The 20,535-nt window shown below is 36.7% G+C and overlaps 1 protein-coding gene across 51 annotated transcripts in view; it reads left to right on the top strand.

The window, feature by feature from the left end:
- NEK11 (NIMA related kinase 11) overlaps nt 1-20,535 on the top strand; it is a 323,589-nt gene that overhangs the window by 212,494 nt on the left and 90,560 nt on the right. For all 51 annotated transcript variants that reach the window (XR_001740271.2, NM_001353038.2, NM_001353022.2 and 48 more), the window contains one exon: nt 4,066-4,126. Coding sequence is in view for 50 of the 51 variants with exons in the window: in NM_001353038.2 (NP_001339967.1) it covers nt 4,066-4,126 (61 nt within the window). In the remaining variant the exon portion in view is untranslated. The remainder of the gene's footprint in view (nt 1-4,065; nt 4,127-20,535) is intronic.

Here is a 20,535-nt window from a genome sequence, read left to right on the forward strand (position 1 = left end):
TCTACTCTATATATACCTTTATAGGTCTATGCCTGCTCAGGATTGTTTGGCAGATGGAGGACATGGTGTCAAGCCTGGCAGCACAGCATGAAAGCAAAGCATGCATGCATCCATTCTCACTCAGAGCAGCTTTCAGCCACTGGAAACATAAAACACTTCTGTAGCTCTGAACCCATCTATGTGTGTGTTGATATGTGCCAAGCCTTCTCTAGATATGCCTTCGGGAGTCAGTATAGCCTACCAGCCAGGAGAGTGCTGAGGGTGCTAGATGTAGACAGATGGCTGAGTTTTCACACCTTCAAGGTGAAGGAGCAGTGAGCAAAAGAATAACCTTTTGGGAGACTCTCAAGAACATCTAAAGATAGATATGCAATCTCTAAGGGACTGCTGGTGCTCAAACTGAGCTCTCATCCCAAACTAAGTTCTTGTGGCAGCTAGGTAGCTTTCATTCATTCATTCATTCATTCATTCATTCACACAGTCACAATTCATTTGTTACCAAACAATATACATAATATTATATATAGTTATCATTTTACAGATATCATTCCCTTAGTTATCCATTCAGCTTCAATGAGAACTGTGTAAATGGTTTTCACTTACCTAACTTTCAAACAAAACCCTGTCATTGGTTTTCCATCTCCAACTCTTTAAGTTTCAAACTTGGTCAATATTTTTCTTAACCAAATCATTTATCTATTGTTTTTAGTCAATGTAATTTTTTTTTCCCTTTAACTCATTTAGCGAGAGCAAGTTCACTGTGGATAGTGGAGGAGGGAAGAATATGGCATCTTATGTCTTTAAGCCTTGCCTTCCTCTGGCTCCTTTCTCAGAATCTTTATCCACAGAAAGGCTAACTGTTCTTAGACTTGGGAAAAACAAACCTCTTAGAACTAGGCTTCTCCCATGAGTGGGTTTTTATTGGTTTGTTTCCTAATAGGTGTGGCAAAACCTCTTTCCTACCTTGCTGCACCTTTTTCACTGGAGTTGGCTGCAGCTTGGACAGTACGCCACAACCAGAGTCTCTTGGATAAGTGACTGTCAGCAACAGCTTGAGAAACAAACTGTCAGAAAAGGATTATTTTTCTCCAAATGGGAGGCTAAGGCTTCATCTCTCTTCCTTGTCTTTGTATACATTTGACACATAATTGGTTTTTGTTGTTGTTGTTGTTGTTGTTGTTAGAAACAGGGTTTTATTTTTGAAAACAGAAAAAGCAAACAATATTTTAAAAATACAGTCTATCGATGTCATCATATTTGGCTTGGAATACACAAGAATCCAGTGACTGAAATGTCTGTTCTAAAAACATAAACATTTTCTTATATCAGTTCCAACCCCTTTTAATTTAATAAATATTTTCTGAATGAAATACAACTGGATAATGAAGTGACACAGTTTTTTTCTTGTGAATTGAATCTTTCGTTATGACTAGCTCTAAGTGAGGAGATCATCTGGATTATTTTGTCAAACAACTGCCTGATAACTAAATGAAGATCTACATGGTGTGATTTTTACAATCCTGTGAAGACCCCATCTGACTTTCTCCTTTGAGATTGCCTGCTTGCTGCTGCCTAAACTTTTCCTATTAGAAATTAACTCCTCTGATATGAGGTCATATGCCTTATGAAATACAAATATCCTGAGAGAGATAACACATAAACTTTATCAACCATTTTTGGTTTTAATGGATCTGTCATATCTCTTCTTGACAGAGAGCATATTTTAATAGATAGGAGAATGAAAATAAATATGAAGGCATATATTAGCTCCTTGTGAAGAAAATATACTTGTTGGGAAGTGCAGGAGTGTAGAGAAAAGAGTAAGAGCAGAGAAAGAGGAGGGTTTCTAAATTGTCATATTCCTTGACCCAGTAATTCTATTTCTGATGGGCCAACCTAAAGAAATAACAATAAACATGAAACAAAGATGTATGTGTAAAGATAGTCATTGCAGTATTCTTTAAAACAAAATAAAATGAAAGCAATCTAGATGTCCAATGATAAGGGTATGGATAAATACATATGATATGCCTTTAGGGAGCAATGGTCCAGCCATTAAAATTATGCTTCTGAAGAATTTTTAATAGCGTCAGAAAAAAGTCTGAACAATATTGTACATTTTCTGTTTGGAAACAGAAAAACCAAACAATGTTTTTAAAATGCAGTCTATTGATGTCATCATATTTGACTTGGAATACCTGAGAATGCAGTGACTGAAATGTGTGTTCTAAAAACAGAAACATTTTTTATATCAGTACCAACTCCCTTTAATTTAATAAATTTAATATTCCAAACAATATTGTACAACAGTACATTGTACTGTTTTTTTGTGTATTTTATGTATAGACACACATACCGTACATATATAGTATAATCTCAAATATCTAAAAGATAGGCATGCATATAGCATACATATATAGTATGATCTGAAATATCTAAGAGATAGATGTATATAGAAAAGACTGACTATATATGTTTATGTGTGTGTGTTTGTATTAATAGCAGTGGGATTTGGGGTATTTATTTTCTTTGATAATTTTCTATATTTTCCAGATTAAAAATAAATGGGAATTGTTAGAGAAAACATTATTTTCAATATTTGTATTTTGACATTGTCTAAAAAGGGAGATTCCTTCAGATATGATAGTTTTTTCCTGTGGCTGCTAGGCAGGCATTGATAGTTATCATGTACTTCATGGATCTGACTGGACCTTTTGAGAACAGCTACCATTCCTCCATAAAAGCAATGTCTAATTCATTAGTGAAATGACTGCATAGGTTTCTGAAAAAAAATGTGGGCATTTGACTAAACTTGAATCTGTGGGACAGTTTTTCAGAATTGAATCTTACAAGATATTCCTCATGTCTCTAAGGCATGTTATTATAATGGAGGGGTTTGTGGCTATGGAGGAAGGAGACTTGAAGAACATTTAAGTTCATCAACAAAGAAGCCGTTGTTATTTTCACAGCATTTGAAAATCTGGCTTCCCAGCACTTGGCTGAGATGACTGAAGGCTGGTGACACTGTAATTTGGCATCTAGCAAGATGCAGTTACTCTCTCAGGCCACTTAGCTCCAGTAAAGTTCAATTTAAATTATGAAACAGGGAAGAAATGCAAAAGTTCCAATCAGCAGCATAATTCTCAATCACACTGGCCATAATATGCTCCTGAAAGATGTTTTCTTTGACTGAATCTTTGCTACGCCCGGCTGATTTTTGTATTTTTAGTCAAGTCGGGGTTTGACCATGTTGGCCAGTCTGGTCTTGAACTTCTGACCTCAGGTGATCTGCCCACCTTGGACTCCCAAAATGCTGGGATTACAGGCGTGAGCCACTGTGCCCAGCCATAAATTCTTAATTTTCCTTAGTATAACCACAAACCTGAAAATAATTAATACTTTTCCCAGATCATTAGGATGCTGTTTTGGATTATTTCAAGCCTGCTTGGTGGAGGACAAATTTATTTTGTATTGAAGACAATATTTTTAATCAAATACAGTTCTGTGATTTCCCCAACCGTTATGGGGGAAGTCTGACTCTTAATGAGGGTTAAGGTAAATGACGAGTGGTATTCTTAGATTTAGCACTCCTTGAAGACCATACATTTCCAAAGAAGAGCTAGTTGTTCTCCAAGGGAAAAAATGCATTAGATTTCTGCTGTATTGACTAAATTGTAAATTGAATAAAATATTTCTTTTATTCTAATAGCATTTACTATGTTTATAGATTTAATATGTATTTATTATAGATAATTTGGAAAAGACATAAGCACACGAAGGAGACAATAAAGATCACTCATAATTTAATCTTTTAGTCAAAACCACTGCTAACATTTTTTTGTATGTTTTTGCCATGACAGATAGAGCAATAAATCTAGAGATTGTTATGGAGAGAGTGATGTAGATATACATAAAGTTATTTTTCTTTTTAAAAATAGGATTATACTGAAATAATTTTGGAACCAGATTTTTTTTTCGCCTAAATGTAGTAAGAACATTTTTCCATGTTATTAAGTATCCTTCTACCATACAGGGAAAATAAACATTTCTCCCTTATTTTGACAGGACAGTGATATCGAAGCGTTGGCCAGGTGTTTGGAAAATGTCCTGGGTTGCACTTCTCTAGGTGAGTAAGTTCCTTTAGGCTTCAAAATACATTGACAGCTACTGATTATCTTGGAATAACTTGGAAGAAATCTTACAGGTGTTTAAGTCTGATATCTTAGTATAACAGATGAAGAAACTGAGGCCAATAGAAGTTGAATGTCTGACCCAAAAGCCAGGAAACTCAAAGAAAAATTGCTTATTATTATTGTAAGTAACTCTTAGTCTCCAAGGATGAAATAATTGAAATTCAGTGGTCCCTTGTGATCAAATGGCAGCCTAGCAGTGCATAATAACAAGTTTGTGCAGTTTCTGGAAAAAGGAACCTCCCTACCTAACTTGTCTTTTAGAAGCAGAGAGCACAGTACATTCAGTTAAGCTGGGAGGACCATCACTCCGAAGGTCAGTCAGTTATTTGAAGAGATTTGGTCTGAAAAACAAAACTAAAACTTGTTTAGCATTGTCAGTCTCAATAAATAGGATTGCTATGCTTCAGGGATAAAGCCCTATTTCTTAGTTTCTTCTATTTTTTTTTTAATCTGAGAAGCCTAACTGAGATACACTCTAGCACTAGATGATAAACAGTGACACAGAGTATTCTTACTAGATGAAAAGGGCTGAGATATTTTTTTCTTCTAAATTTGATTACAAGTTTTTATTTAAAAAATTTAAACTCTAAACCAAAAGCAATCTCTTCAAAGGGAATGGCAGGGTAAAAACAAACAATTAAGTTTTCAGGTGGGCAAACATTCACTCTTTTATTAGGAGCTTTATGCACAATTTATAGCCTTTTTCTAGCTTATTCCACATCTCCATATGGGAAACCTCAGTCATAACATAAGTCTTTGATTTTCTCACCTGACCATCACCCTGTGATCTGTTTAATTGTATATCAAATACACTTATTTGATGCATTTAACATTTAACAAGTACATTTAACATCGAAGCATGACTTAAGACCAGGAAGGCTTTTTCCTCTCTGGACCTTAGATTAGATGACTAATTTTCAATCTAGGCTCCTTAGAGACCTCCAGGATGAGGGGTTGGTGGTACTAAGCAGCATGAGAACAGAAGCTGTGTCTGTACTGCTCATCTCTATTTTTCCAGAGTCTAACACTGTGTCTGGTGCAGCAGAGGCTCTTTAAAAATATTTTAAAATATTTGTGGTCGAAGGTGGTGGCTCACACCTGTAATCCCAACGTTTTGGGAGGCTGAGGTGGGAGGATCACTCGAGGTCAGGAGTTTGAGACCAGTCTGGGCAACATAGCAAGACCCCGTCTCTAACCAAATTTTTTAAAATTCAGCCAGGCATGATAGCCTGTGCCTGGAGTCCTAACTCCATGGGATGCTGAAACTAGGAGATTCCTTGAGCCCAAGAGATTTAGGCTGCGGTGAGTTGTGATTATACCACTGTACTTCAGCCTGGGTGCTAGAGTGAGACCCTATCTCAAAAATATATATTATTGTTATAATTTCTATAAAGTAAAGGGGTACAGTGCAGTTTTCTTACACAGATATATTGCACAGTGGTAAAGTCTGGGCTTTTGGTGTAATCATCACCTGAATATGGTACATTATACCCATTAAGTAATTTTTTTATCACTCACCTCTCTCCCAACTTCCCACTCTTCTGAGTCTCCAACGTCCGTTACTCCACACTGTATATCCATATGTACACATTATTTAGCTCCCACTTATAAGTGAGAACATTGGTATTTGACATTCTGTTTCTGAGTTGTTTCACTTAAGATAATGGCCTCCAGTTCTTTCTATGTTGCTGCAAAATTCATGATTTTATTCTTTTTTTGTGGTTGAATAGTATTCCATTGTGTGTGTGTGTGTGTGTGTGTGTGTACTGTTATCCAATCGTCCTTTGACGGACACTTAGGTTGGTTCCATATCTTTGCTGTTGTGAATAGTGCTGCAATAAACATAAAAGTGCAGGTATCTTTTTGATATAATGATATAATGATCTTTTCCTTTGGGTATATACCCAGTAGTGGGATTGCTAGATTGAATGGTAGTTCTTTGAGCAATCTCCATACTATTTTTCATACAGGTTGTACAAATTTATATTCCTACCAAAATACTGTATAAATGTTCCTTTTTCTCTGTATCCTCATCAACATCTGTTATTTTTTGTCTTTTTAGTAATAGCCATTCTGACTGGTGTAAGATACCTTCTTGTGGTTTTAATTTGCATTTATCTGATGATTAGTGATGTTGAACATTTTTTCATATGTCTTTTGCCCATTTATGTCTTCTTCTTTTGAAAAATGTCTGTTCATGCATGTCTTTTGCCCACTTTTTATTCGAGTTAGTTGGGGTTTTTTTGTTTTTTGTTTTTTTGTTTGTTTGTTTGTTTTTGGTGATGGTTGTTTGAGTCCCTCATAAATTCTGGATATTAGTCCCTGCCAGATTGATAGTTTGCAAATATTTTCTCCTGTTCTGCAGATTGTTTGTTTATGCTGTTGATTTGTTTCTTTTGCTACACAGAAACATTTTAGTTTAATTAAGTCCCATTTGTCTATTTTTGGTTTTGTTGCTTATGCTCTTGTAGTCTTAGTCATGAATTCTTTGCATAGACCAATGTCCAGAAGAGTTTTCCCTAGGTTTTCTTTAAACAAAAAAATTTTTTTTATTCCAATAGGTTTTTGGGGAACAGTTGGTGTTTGGCCACATGAATAAGTTCTTTAATGGCAATTTATGAGATTTTGGTGCACCCATCACCCTAGCAGTGAACACTGTACCCAGCGTGTAGCCTTTTATCCCTCACCTCCCTCACCCTTTCCCCACAAGTCCCTAAAGTCCAAATGTATCATTCTTATGCCTTTGTGTCCTCATAGCTTAGCTCTCACATGAGTGAGAATATAGGATGTTTGGTTTTCCATTCCTGAACTACTTCACTTACAATAACAGTCTCCATTTCCATCCAGGTTGCTGCAAATGCCATTATTTCATTCCTTTTTATGGCTGAATAGTATTCCGTGGTGTGTGTACCACATGTGTATGTGTATCACATTTTCTTTATCCACTCATTGATCGATGGACATTTGGGCTGGTTCCATATTTTTGCAATTGCAAATTGTGCTGCTATAAACATGCATGTGCATCTTTTTCATATAATTACTTCTTTTCCTCTAGGTAGATACCTAGTAATGGGATTGCTGGCTCAAATGGAAGATCTACTTTTAGTCCTTTAAATAATTTTCATACTGTTTTCCATAGTGGTTGTACTAATTTACATTCCCATCAACAGAGTAAAAGTGTTCCCTTTTCACTGCATCCATGTCAATATCTATTATTTTCTGATTTTTAAAATTATGGCCATTTTTGCAGGAGTGAGGTGGTATCACATTATGGTTTTTATTTGCATTTCCCTGATACTTAGTGATGTTGAGCATTTTTTCATATGCTTGTTGGCCATTTGTATATCTTCTTTTGAGAATTGTCTACTTATGTCCTTAGCCCACTTTTTGATGGGATTTTTTTTTGTTTTCTTCTTGCTGACTTGTTTGAGTTCTTTGTAGATTCTGAATATTAGTGCTTTGTTGGATGTATAGATTGTAAAGGTTTTCTTCCACTCTGTGGGTTGTCTGTTAATTCTGCTGTTTATTTCTTTTGCTGTGCAGAAGCTTTTTAGTTTAATTAAGTCCCATCTATTTATCTTTGTTTTTGATGCATTTGCTTTCAGGTTCTTGGTAATGAAGTATTTGGCTAAGCCAGTGTCTACACGGGTTTTTTCTGATGTTATCTTCTAGAATCTTTATGGTTTCGGTCTTACATTTAAGTCTTTGATCCATCTTCAGTTGATTTTTGTATAAGGTGAGAGATGAGGATCCAGTTTCATTCTTCTACATGTGACTTGCCAATTATCCCAGCACGATTTGTTGAATAGGGTGTCCATTTCCTACTTTATGTTTTTGTTTGCTTTGTTGAATATCAGTTAGCTATAAGTATATGGCTTTATTTCTGGATTCTCTATTCTGACCCATTGGTTTTTGTGCCTGTTTTTATACCAGTACCATGTTGTTTTGATGACTATGGCCTTATAATATAGTATAGTTTGAAGTCAGGTAATGTGATGCCTCCAGATTTATTCTTTTTTCTTAGTCTTGCTTTGGGTATGCAGGCTCTTTTTTGGTTTCATATGAATTTTAGAGTTTCTTTTTATAGTTCTGTGAAGAATGATGGTGGTATTTGATGGGAATTGCATTGAAGTCATTTTCACAATGTTGATTCTCTCCATCCATGAGCGTGGGATGTGTTTCCATTTGTTTGCATCATCTATGATTTCTTTCATTAGTGTTTTGTAGTTTTCCTTGTAGAAATTTTTCACTTATTTGGTTAAATGTATTCCTAGGGTTTTTTTTTTTTTGTAGCTATTGTAAATGGAATTGCCTTCTTGATTTGGTTCTTAATGTGATTGTTATTGGTGTACAGAAATGCCATAGATTTTGGTATGTTTATTTTGTATCCTGAAATTTTACTTAATTTGTTCATCTAATCTAACAGTTTTTGGAGAAGTCTAGTGTTTTCTAGGTATAAGATCATATGATCAGCAAACTGAGATAATTTGACTTTCTTTTTTCCAATTTGGGTGCTATTTATTTTTCTCTTGCTTGGTTGCTCTGGGTAGGACTCCTAGTACTGTGTGGAACAGGAGTAATGAAAGTGGGCATTCTTGACTTGTACCAGGTTTAGGAGAATTGCTTTCAACTTTTCCCCATTCAGTATGATGTTGGCTGTAGATGTGTCATATATGGCCTTTATTATTTTGAGGTAGGTTTCTTTTATGCCTCATTTATAGAAGGTTTTATCATGATAGAATGCTGACTTTTTTCAAATGCTTTTTCTGCATCTATATAGATGATCATATGGTTCTTAAAAAATTTATGTGGGTACATAGTAGGTGTTTGTGTTTATGGAGTACATGAGATTTTTTAAATAGGCATACAATACATAATAATCATATCATGGAAGCTGAGGTTTGGGTCTGGAAAAATGCTTGGGGCACTTCCTGGAGCCTTTCTTTCTTACAGCCTGCCAGCCTTTCTCCAAGTTAGCACCAGGGCTGGTGAGGGACAAGGTGCTCTTCCATGGCCTGGATTGCATGGTCCCCCCGTGGAAAGCTGGATCACAGAGAAACAGTCTCTCTCACTCTCCCATATTAGGGCTTTACTCACAGTTCTCAGTCAGTTGTTGGCATGCAGGCTGTCTACCCATCCTCTCTTCACTGGGATCTTTCCTTTTCCAGTGAATTCCTCTGTTCTTTCTTGAATAAAAGATTATAGTGTGAATCTCTGTGCACTATTTTGCTTTTTCCATGTGAAATATTTAAAAATATTTTTAGGAGAAATTAGATGCAGACCCTGTTCTTTTACCAGTTTCAACCAAAATTATCTTCACTCTTATCTGTTTTATAAATTGAATTTCTATAAAAGATTGTGTCTGGAAAAAGATAGATTCCACTGCTAAAAATTGAAATAGCACTGATTGAATAGTTAATATCCAAATTCCTTTCTAGGCTGGGTGTTTTTTTTTTCCTTAAAGAAATGAGCATTAGAATCATGGAGTAAAAATACACATTTATCTCTGCTTGAAGTCCCACTAACATGACAAAAAAGGAAAAAAGCTAATATAAACCTACAGAAAAAAAAGAGAACATAAGAGGAGATGGAAGCAGATGAGAGCTTTAGTGAACTTGAGAAAGATATAAAGCAGATAGATGAGTGATAACTGATTTAGAAAACAGAGAAAGCTGAAAGCTAAGTGCCTAAGATGTATATAGGAAAGAAGGGAAGGTAAGGTGTAGGCTAGGAGAAGCAAGGCAACTGAACCTACAGAATCTCATAAATGCTCAAGATTTGGAGGCCTCAACTACCGCTGAAGGCATGGTATAGGTGAAGATTAAAATGGGAAGATTGGTTGACAGTGTGCGTAAGGAGAAATAGACCCCAGGTGCCTTTCTCTCCACTGGCACAGCCACAATATTCCTCTCCACAGTCAAGACAGAAGAAAACAGACTCGATTTGGGGGAACATTGAATCAGGAAGGTTTTAGGGACACCAAAGGACAGGGTGATGTGATGTGATGAAAACAAAGAGATGAGTTGAAAGTCTTCATATTAAGTTATGAAACCCCCAGATACCATTCCTACTTGGCTTCTGAAACACTGGAAGAACAGCATGGACTCCTTCAGGTTCAGAAAAGCATGGACTCTTTAGAAGATATCTCTCTGACAGCATTTACCAGCCTGAGAATCCTAAGGATGTTAACATTTCCTCAACAAAATGGTGGGAATGAGCGCTACCAGTTGACAATCTCTGAATCTGCAGAAAGAGCTTAAACTGACTTTTAATTTTTCACACTTAAATGTGAACATGTAGCAATGCAGTAGCCAGTATCTGAGGAAATCTAACCAAAAAGAGAAATCAAGACAAAAATATACAAAGAACTCAGGAAACAGACAATGTAGACAAGAAAATAAAAATTCAAAAACTGTGTATCCACAAAAGTTTTTTAAAATAAAAAATTAAAGAAACAATATTAAAATTCTAAAAGATAGCAGAGAAAGTATTACCTCTGTGAAGCAAATCATACAGAGAATAAGAAAGAGCTCTTAAAGTTATAATTTTAATGGCAGAAATAAAAATTCAGTAGAAGGTTTGGAAGATAAAAGTGAGGAAATTTACCAGAATATAATTAATAAATGGTAAGAAAACAAAGTGATTCATCTACGTGATTCAGCACCTAACAAATAGAAATTCCAGGAAAAAAGAACAGAAAATGAAAAAAATTATCAAATAAATAAGAAAAATATCTAGAGAGAATCAAACAGACCACTTATAAAGTATCAGAGAAAAGAGTGGTGTCTTATTTTTCAACAATAACTAAAAGCTAGAAGATAATAAAGTTTGAACCTACAAATATTTATCTATCCAAACTATCAATCAAGTGTGAGAAAGGAAGAAAGACATTTGCAGGCATCCAATATCAAAAATGAGGTCTGAAAAATATCTACCTCCCATGACTTTACTTAGGAAGTTCCTAGAGGATATGCGTCATCAAACCTAAGAGTCAATCAAGAAAGAGGAAGACATGAACTTCAGGTGATAGGAAATCCAATATAGGAGAGAGGTTAAGGGGATTCCCAGAATGAGAGTAAAGAAAGGTCACTGAACGATAGGTGGGCAACAGGCCTGGGAAATAATCCATTCAGACTAGAATGAGTCAGAGAATTCCAAGGGGTAAATAAATATCTCCTAGAGAGGAATGGAACTAATGGATAACCCATTTGGATTTTATCATAATGAGAGGAGTTTGCAGTTCCTTTGGTGAGTTTAGGGATGAATTAGAAGTTATTAGAAAACTAAACAAAGTGAAAAATCCAGGGCAATTATGAACTCCTGGAAAAACAAAAAGTCATTTTTTAAAAAGAAAATGTAATCTGCACACACTGAGTGCTTAGCTGTATACAATATTTGCATAGTCATAATAATTTTTTTTAAATGTGATGTAACTATATTGGAAAGATGGAGGGAAGAAAAATATTTGTAAGTGTATGTGTGCATCTGTGTGTGTGTGTATAACAGAGAGAGGAAAGAAAGAACAAAATTAACATTCCCTATTTATAGTAGGAAGTCCAAAACAGATTGTCTAAAACAGAAAAGTTTAAAAAAAATAGTTGTATAAACATGTGCTATAGAGAGATAAAGGTAAATACAAAAAAAAAAAAAAACAAGTTAAAGAGTTGAATATGGTTGACTTTGGAGACTGGAACTTGAAGGTGAGGCAGGAAGCTTTCTTGTTTTTAACATTAAAAGCTTTGACTTAAAAAAGTACTAGGTACATGAATTCTTAGATTAGAAGTCAATTTTTAAAAAGAGGTAAGTGTTGGAAAGCAAAGAGCCCAATTCTGCCCTCCATTACTTTAGTGTGCCTGCTATTAAGGCTGGATTAAGACTTTTGGACACTTTGATTTCTGAGAAGATTATAGTAAACTAAATTTGTAAATTAAAAAGAAGCTAGATTATAAAATAAAAAATACATATACCCTGAAGTTATAATAGCTTCTTTTCAGATTATCTGATTGCAAGGTTCTGAATACGTTAATTAAATGTATTTTTCAGTTTTGGATACCTTTACTCTGCTTATGTCCTGGCATCTGCTGGGATGATTTATAGGACATTTCAGAGTTCATTCCATGTAACTGCTAAAGTGCTTGCTGCCCAAAACTGTGCAACACAGGAAGCCCCTTAACCCTTCTACTGCTTCTTATGACTATGATGACCTCTTATTGTGTGTGACCTCTTATGTTACCAGAACAGTAGAATTTAATTAATGCTGCTGCTGAAATGGAAGGAGTTCTTTGATTATGGCTACAGACATTGAGATGATGGGAGCACATGCTTTTGAAATACCTGTCTGGTGTGGAAACTCATAGCAGGACCCTCATTACACATGAGAACTTTATTGCTTTCAGGACTGCAAGAACTTCCCTGTCATTATATAGAAATCATGAAGACAATCCCATCACATAGTCTTATAAGGGTCTAACATTGCCCAGGTAGCTTGTGTCTGCTTTGTTCCTATTACATTTTTGGGAGGCCCACTAACTGTAATAATAGTTAGAGCTTATTAATCATTGTGGTTGTTAATATATGTCAGAATGTTAACAGGATCCGGGGACAATTTAAGCTTAAGTATGTCAGAGTATAAGCTTTTTCACTTCAAAATGAAACCTCTGTGAATTGAACTAGGCTTTACTCATGCTCATTATCTGCCTAGGCACTTTGGTAATGCCCAGGTGCCTGCAGAGCATGTCAAGATATGTATGTATCTTCTACAAACATCTTCAAGAGCTTCTTCTATCTCTTAACCAGAGAAGAAAGAAAAACAGACATACACATGTCCTTTCTGGTAATTTCAACCAAGAAATTTTTAACTTCGAAACCCTGAAAATGCTGTGTGTAGTGGCTTGACCCCATTCCTGACCCCAATTTAGTTTGAATTCTACTTGGAACAGGGACAGTGATATTTTTCTTTCTTACATCACAGATGAGTGGACTGAATGAATGAGTTAGCATTTGTGTGGCTTCAGGAGATCCTGAAGATGACTTTTTGCATTTCAAGTTCAGTGTATTAGTCTCCTTTATAGCATCAAGGTCAGATTAAAGCCTTGAGATCAGTGATTTTCACACTTGGGCATGCATCTGAATTACCTAGAGGGCTTAAAATACAGGTTTGGTATGTGTCCAAGAATTTGTATTTCTGACAACTTCCTACATGATGCTGATGCTCTGGGTCCAGACTGCACTTTAAGAACTATGGCTTTATAATCTTTAAGCCTTGAAAGGATTATCGTGCACACTCACCCCAATTTATAATTCAAACAGAACAATACTAAAGTGTAAAATAAAAATTTTATTTCCAAAAATTATAGAGAACTTAAAAGCTATAAGCTAAAATGAAATGTTTTCTTCCTAGATTTTTTTCCTCTTTCTTTCTGTGATCCTGTCCTGTGTGATGGGCTATCTGGCACTGTGCATAAGAGTTACTGAGCTTCCTTAGAAGTGGTATTGTATTTCTGCCTGATCCTCAGCATCCACATCAGGCATTTAGAGAGCTCATGAAGGTTCAAGGCATTGCATAAAGAGTTGGATATTGAGACTCATTTAGAATATGGTCCTTGTCATGAGGTGGGCTCCTGGACAGATCAGTGCAAGGTTTTGTGAAAGTACCAGGGAATACCTACTAGGTGCTTTTCTCATACATGGAAAACAAATTGTCTTACATGAAGGCCCCTCATTTACAAAACGCTAAATTCCCACCAAAATTTCCCATGGGATACAAGAAGCAAGACCAGACATGAACAGGATATTAAGTGATTCTAGGCAGAATTAGGAGAAAGAAAGAGGGAAGAAATGAAAAGGGAACAGAAAAAAAGTCCAGAATGAGGGCATGGGGAATAGCCAATAATATAGCCAATAGCTATTTTACTGAGGGCAGATACTTTGAAACATGACATTTCCGTAGTTGAAATTTCTATCCTTGATTTCCTTTCCTCTTCTTCCTTCCCTACAAATGTTTATAAAGTTTGCATTATAAGCCAAATGTCACAGATAGAGTGGCGAAGAAAACAAGTCCCTGTCTTAATGATTTCCCAGTATAGTCAGGGAGGCAGATAATTACAGAATACTGTGATGAGTACACCATACACTGTGAATAAGGCAAATGTGTGTTGGGTGTGTACTGGGGTATAACCCCAGTGCAATGTACAATATCCCTGCTACAAAGTATATTAACTTCAATGAAACCATAATGCATGTGTATTAAGTGAATTAATGATTGGTGAGTTTCTCTTTTAGCTATGTAAACTTGATTACTGGAACTTCTTTCTAGTTAACACCAATATACATAATGTTCTTTGCTATGAGTATGCTAATAAGAGTAATTAATAATATTGTTAAAGGGATTTATTTATATTACAAAGTCTTTTCCTTGCTACCTCCCCTTGCTACACATGGATCAAATGGAGCTGTCTGGCAAGGTAGCAGACATGTAGCATGTTCTCCGTAAGTTGTCACTAATCCTGAATCTGTTGCGTTCTTTGGAGTTTTAAAGAAGTTGTAGAAATTTAAATTTTTCATAAGACATAAATCTCTATAAGACATAAACAGAAGGGATAATGGAAAACAGATATTGTGTATCCACATCAAAATGATCCAAGTGGCTTATAATCCAGAATATCCCTTCTCTCTTCCAATGAAAGTGGTCGCAATGTGTCAGTAACCAAAGTAAAACAGTATGTTGAAATCTCTGTGAGACTAGCATGAGAAATTTTTTTCTGTCAAGGTGAAAAACACAATAGTGCAAGATTAACTGACTTTAAGTCATCACCACACTTAATGGCTTAAGAGTTTGAAGAGCTTAAGCAAGGGAAGTTTCTAAGGGATTCAGAAGCCCTGATGATTTCTCTGGTCTATATCAGTGTTATTGTTTAGCAGAGATTAAGGAATTATTACCAAAGTTCTATGGAAGAATTGAGGGGTAACAATTTTCAAACAGCAAAACTGATCAGACCTATTAACACATTAAAAGAATCTTAATGGGAAGTGAGGTTTTGGAGCATCTGTGAAATTCTAATTACTTCTGAAACAACATCCAGTTTGGATGTACAAAGCCTTTTTATAAATATAGTTTACCAAGGACATGTATAATTCTGCTGATAACTTTTCTCAGCTAGAAGTGCAGCTAATTTGGCTGGGCACAGTGGCTCACATCTGTAATCCCAGCACTTTGGGAGGCCAAGGTGGGTGGATCACCTGAGGTCAGGAGTTCAAGACCAGCCAGGCCAACATGGTGAAACCCCGTCTCTACTAAAAATACAAAAATTAGCCAGGCATTATGGCGGGTGCCTGTAATCCCAGCTTCTCAGAAGGCTGAGGCAGGAGAATCGCTTTAACCCAAGAGGTGGAGGTTGCAGCAAGCCAAGATCACACCACTGCACTCCAGACTGGGTGAGAAGAGCAAGACTCCATCTAAGAAAGAAAGAAAGAGAGAGAGAGAGAGAGAGACAGACAGACAGACAGACAGAAAGAAGGAAAGAAAGAAAGAAAGAAAGAAAGAAAGAAAGAAAGAAAGAAAGAAAGAGAGAAAGAACAGCTAATTTCCCAAACATTTAAGAATGTTAAAGTTTGTAGATTACCTTGGCTCATAATGTAGTTACTAAGATATGGAGACAGAATTTTCATTTCTAAGAAGTTCAAAGAAAATGAAGTTAGAGGTCATCTTCTGTCTTTCTTACTGAGCAATGATGATCCTAAACAGTTACTGTAGTAACATGTGATCTGTTATCTGAGTAGTAATAACACATACCCAGTTCTACATTTCAAGTCACTGCTTTCAAAGCACTCTCCTTGTTTGTTAAAGGTGACCTTTTCAGATCGTACTTTAAAAAAATAAAACAGTGGTATCCTAACCCACAGGATGAGATTCAAACTCCTAACCTGGCACACAAGATTTTTTTCTGGCCTTGGCCCTATACATCTAGGTTCATCAATCCCTTCCTCACACCTTACATTCCAGTAGCACCAAACTTCTTGATATTTCCATGAATATACTCAGTTGTTTCACACTTCTGAGCTTTCACACTGCTTGATCCTTTCTAGAGAATGCTTCCCCTCCCGACTGCTTGGCAGCTCTACTTCTATCTTTCTATTCATTCATTAAGTGATTATTGAAAAAAAAGTTGTATGCCATACTATGTGTTGGCCTCTGAGAATATTTCAGTGAACACAACCTTGCCCTGCCCTCACAAACACCAGAATTACAAACCTTCTACTTCTCTGTAAAGCTTTCCTTGGGTTGCCAACTGATTAGACCATGTCCAAATAAGGCAAATGCCCAGCTGTAACCAATAAAGCTGGTTCTATACCTCACTTCCATTTTCTATCGATAAATGCTGCTTGCCTGCAGAATAGAGTTCTCCAAACCTCTTGTGGTTCTGAGGGCTGTCCAATTCATAAATCATTCTTTGCTTAAATAAACAGTTAAATTTGTCTCCAAAGGCTGGGAAGGAGAGAAGAGAGGAAGATAAGAAGAGATTGGTCAATGAGTATAAAGTTAAAATTAGATAGGAGGAGTAAATTTCGGTATTCTATTGCACAGTTGGGTGACCGTGGTTAGCAATATCATATTGTACATTTCAAAATGGCTAGAAGAGAAGATTTTGGATGTTCTTACCACGATGAAATGATGAATGTATAAGGTGATGGATATGCTAAATACACTGATTTGATTTTTATACAATGTATACATTTATCTAAACACCACATTGTATCCCATAATTACATACAATAATTATGTGTCAATGAAAACAAAATTTAAAACATTTTTAAGAGATTTAAGAAATTAATTTGTTCAAAGTTAATCTTTTAACCCTAAGTTCTAAAAACTTACTCTAACATAGGTCTTCTACAAAGACTATGCACCAATATAGTGATTTCAAAACTGGTTTTAAGGTAAATGCAGAAATATTTTTTATGTATTTGTTTCTTATCCTGACCTACCATAAAAGCTCAATGCCTATATTGGTCCTCTATGGATGCATAACAAATTACTCAAAAACATATGGGCTGAAAACAATGATAATCATTTATTACCTCTCATAGTTGCTGTAGGTCATGAATTTAGGAGGGCGTAACTGGATGGTTCTGGCTCAGGGTCTCTCATGAGTTTGCAGTTAGCTATCACCCAGGGCCACAGTCATCTGAAGGCTTCACTGGGGCTGGAGATTGCATTTCCCAGATGACTCACACAGCTGGCCTCAGATCCCTTCCAAATTGGCCTTTCCACAGAGAATCTTGAGTGTCCTCAAGGATAATAATGTTAGATACTGGGCACAGTTTTTAGACTGACCAATATTGCTGCCTTGGGAACCTGGATGTGGCTGATGTTCCTACCGCAAACCTGCCTGGATGGACTTCATGTGGTCTCTGCTTCTTCTCATTATCAATTTTTTTTTAAGACAGGGTCTCACTCTATTGCCTGTGCTGGAGTACAGTGGCACAATCATGGCTCACTGCAGCCTTGACCTCCTGGGCTCAGGGTAATCCTCCCGCTTCAGCCTCTCATGCAGCAGGGACTACAGGCATGTGCCACTATGCCTGGCTAATTTTTTTTTTTTTTTGTATTTTTTGTAGAGATGGGGTTTTGCCATGTTGCTCAGGCTGGTCTTGAACCCCTGGGCTCAAGTGGTTCACCTGACTCAGCCTCCCAAAGTGCTGGGATTACAGATGTGAACTACCATGTCCAGCCAAATTCATCTTACTGGCAGAGGCTGGTCATATTTCTACACCCTAATTACATGGGAGACTGGTAAGTTAGTCTTCGGCATTCATGGCTTTAATGGGAGCCAGGCTCTGTCTCACAAAGTAAAAGATTCCCCTTACAAGGGAAATGAGAATGTAAGGCCAAAAATAACAAATATTTACTATATTAATGAGCTCCACTGTTGTAAGGATAGAATTTTAGGAATAACTAGAGATGTGAAAGGAGAGATGGCCCTTGCGGTGTCTTGTGGAAACATCTCCTCTTTTGGCTTTCATAGAAGCTAAGGAGTACATGATACCAGGTAATCATTTTTCAATTTATCTTCTGTTCTGCTGACGATAGTGAGAGCTACATGCTTCCCCCGCAATTGTCAGGATTCACATTCTAATGAAAAGTGAGAACGCATCCTGGTGGTAATGTAAACTAGTACAACCACTATGGAAAACAGTATGGAGATTCCTTAAAGAACTAAATGTAGAACTACCATTCAATCCAGCAATCTCACTACTGGGTATCTACCCAAAGGAAAAGAAGTCATTATATGAAAAAAGATACTTACACATGCATGTTTATAGCAGCGATTGCAAAAATATGGAACCAGCATAAATGTTCATCAACCAATGAGTAAAGAAAATGTGGTATATATATATATACACCATGGAACACTACTCATCCATAAAAAAGAACAAAATAATGGCATGCACAGCAACCTGGATAGAGTTAGAGGGGCCATTATTCTAAGTGAAGTAACTCAGGAATGGAAAACCAAACATCATATGTTCTCACTTATAAGTGGGAGCTAAGCTGTGGGGACACAAAGGCAGAATGATATAATGGACTCTGGGGACTCAGGGGGAAGGGTGGGAGGGGGTGAGGAATAAAAGACTACACATGGGGCACAGTACACACTGCTCTAGTGATGGGTGCACCCAAATCTCAGAAACCATCACTAAAGAACTTATCCATATAGCCAAAAACCACCTGTTCCCCAAAAACTATTGAAATAAAATAAAACAAAAATTTTAAAAACTTAAAAAAAGAGAAGGAAGTACTGCTGATACACTTTCCTTAAGTATTTGAATCAGTCTTGAAGCCAGATCAACCTCCTATTACAGAAAAGCAGGTTTTGTTTTTAAAGCTAAATTTCTTCATGTTGGCAGATAAGAATAATTAAACTCCCCAAACATTGGCTAGTGTCTCCACAGGGAAAGCACAAATGAAAAAGTTAGGGTCTGGCTTCCACAAATCTCATCTTAGCCTGTATCCACATTTAATTACTGAATGTCAATCCAAAAAACAGACACTTCGTCTCTTCCTTTTACTGGTAGCTACTGTTCTTAGAGGTTTTTCCTGGTGTATTCAAAAGGAAACAAGAATTTCCAAACTCCTTAACTCTTGTTGTTTTTAATCATCTATAAAATTCAGGTGAATATTTGCAGTGTGAAATAACCATAATAAAAATATTTTATTTTCTATCTTCTGGTATTTATCATATTTCCTATAAGTAGCAAGTTTGCTTTTCCCAAGTTGATCCACTTTTTCCCAACTATTTAATTTTGGTGTAGGCAGTGGAGTCCTATTGATACACTGAGAAGCTGCTCCATGCAAAGCATTGTGGTGGACATCATGGGGAGGTAGTGTAAATTTGCCTTGGGTCTTTTGTAGCAATAATGTACCTTTATATATAAGTTTAATATACATTTAAGCTTTACTAGAGCCATAGAAGATAGGATTCTTTTTTTTGTATCAATGAGGCAACTGAGTCACAGATTTTTACCTTTCCAAACATCACAGAATCAAGATTCAAACCCAAGTCCTCTAAGCCAGCTCACATACTTGTCCTAATATGCCCCAGCTCCCTTCCTACTGGAAAGCATTTGAGGTTGTTCTCTCCTAGACCATCTTCTTCCTTTTCCTCCTGTGCTTTTCTACTCCAGCATCCTAATGTGGTTTGGCATTGACACCGCTGATGCCACAGGGTTGACAACAACTTCTTTGGCAGTGGCTTCTGCCCTGTACCAATAAAATCAATTCTCTGAAAGAGCTGGGGATGGACAAGAAGTGGTAGGAATGGTCATGTCATTATTTCTAATACTGCTCTTATCAAATACCCAACTTATTAAAGGAACCAAGACAATAATCTCCATGCCCTCAACCTTATCCACTTCAACCTTTAGGCTGGGTTTTCTAGGAAGCCGTCTCTGACAGAGTTGAGTAGGCAGGACTTTTATGCATGAGTGCCCTTGGGATTGACCCTGTGGACAGAAGGAGAAGGATGCAGGATGAGGCAGAGGGAGAAGTTGAGCAGTGATGAAGGCCTGACAAGCCTTAGCCAAACCCTCAGAGAGCTCCAGTCCCATGGGTGTTGCCAGCAAAGGCCATAATGGTTAGGTTCTCTACCTCTACCATGATCAGTCATTAAAGGTTGCTACTTGGAGGGGCATGATTTGGGGGAAGGCAGCTTTCTGAGGCTGAAGAATTTCCTGAAGGGGCCACAGCTGGAGGCTGTCTACTCCCAACAGCTGGGGTAGCAAGTTCTTCCTTCAAGGAGGATCTGCATAGTGCATCTCCATTTCTGGGGTGTTGAGGTGTTGA

This window comes from Homo sapiens, chromosome 3 (assembly GCF_000001405.40).
Source record: "Homo sapiens chromosome 3, GRCh38.p14 Primary Assembly".
Lineage (NCBI taxonomy): Eukaryota > Metazoa > Chordata > Mammalia > Primates > Hominidae > Homo > Homo sapiens.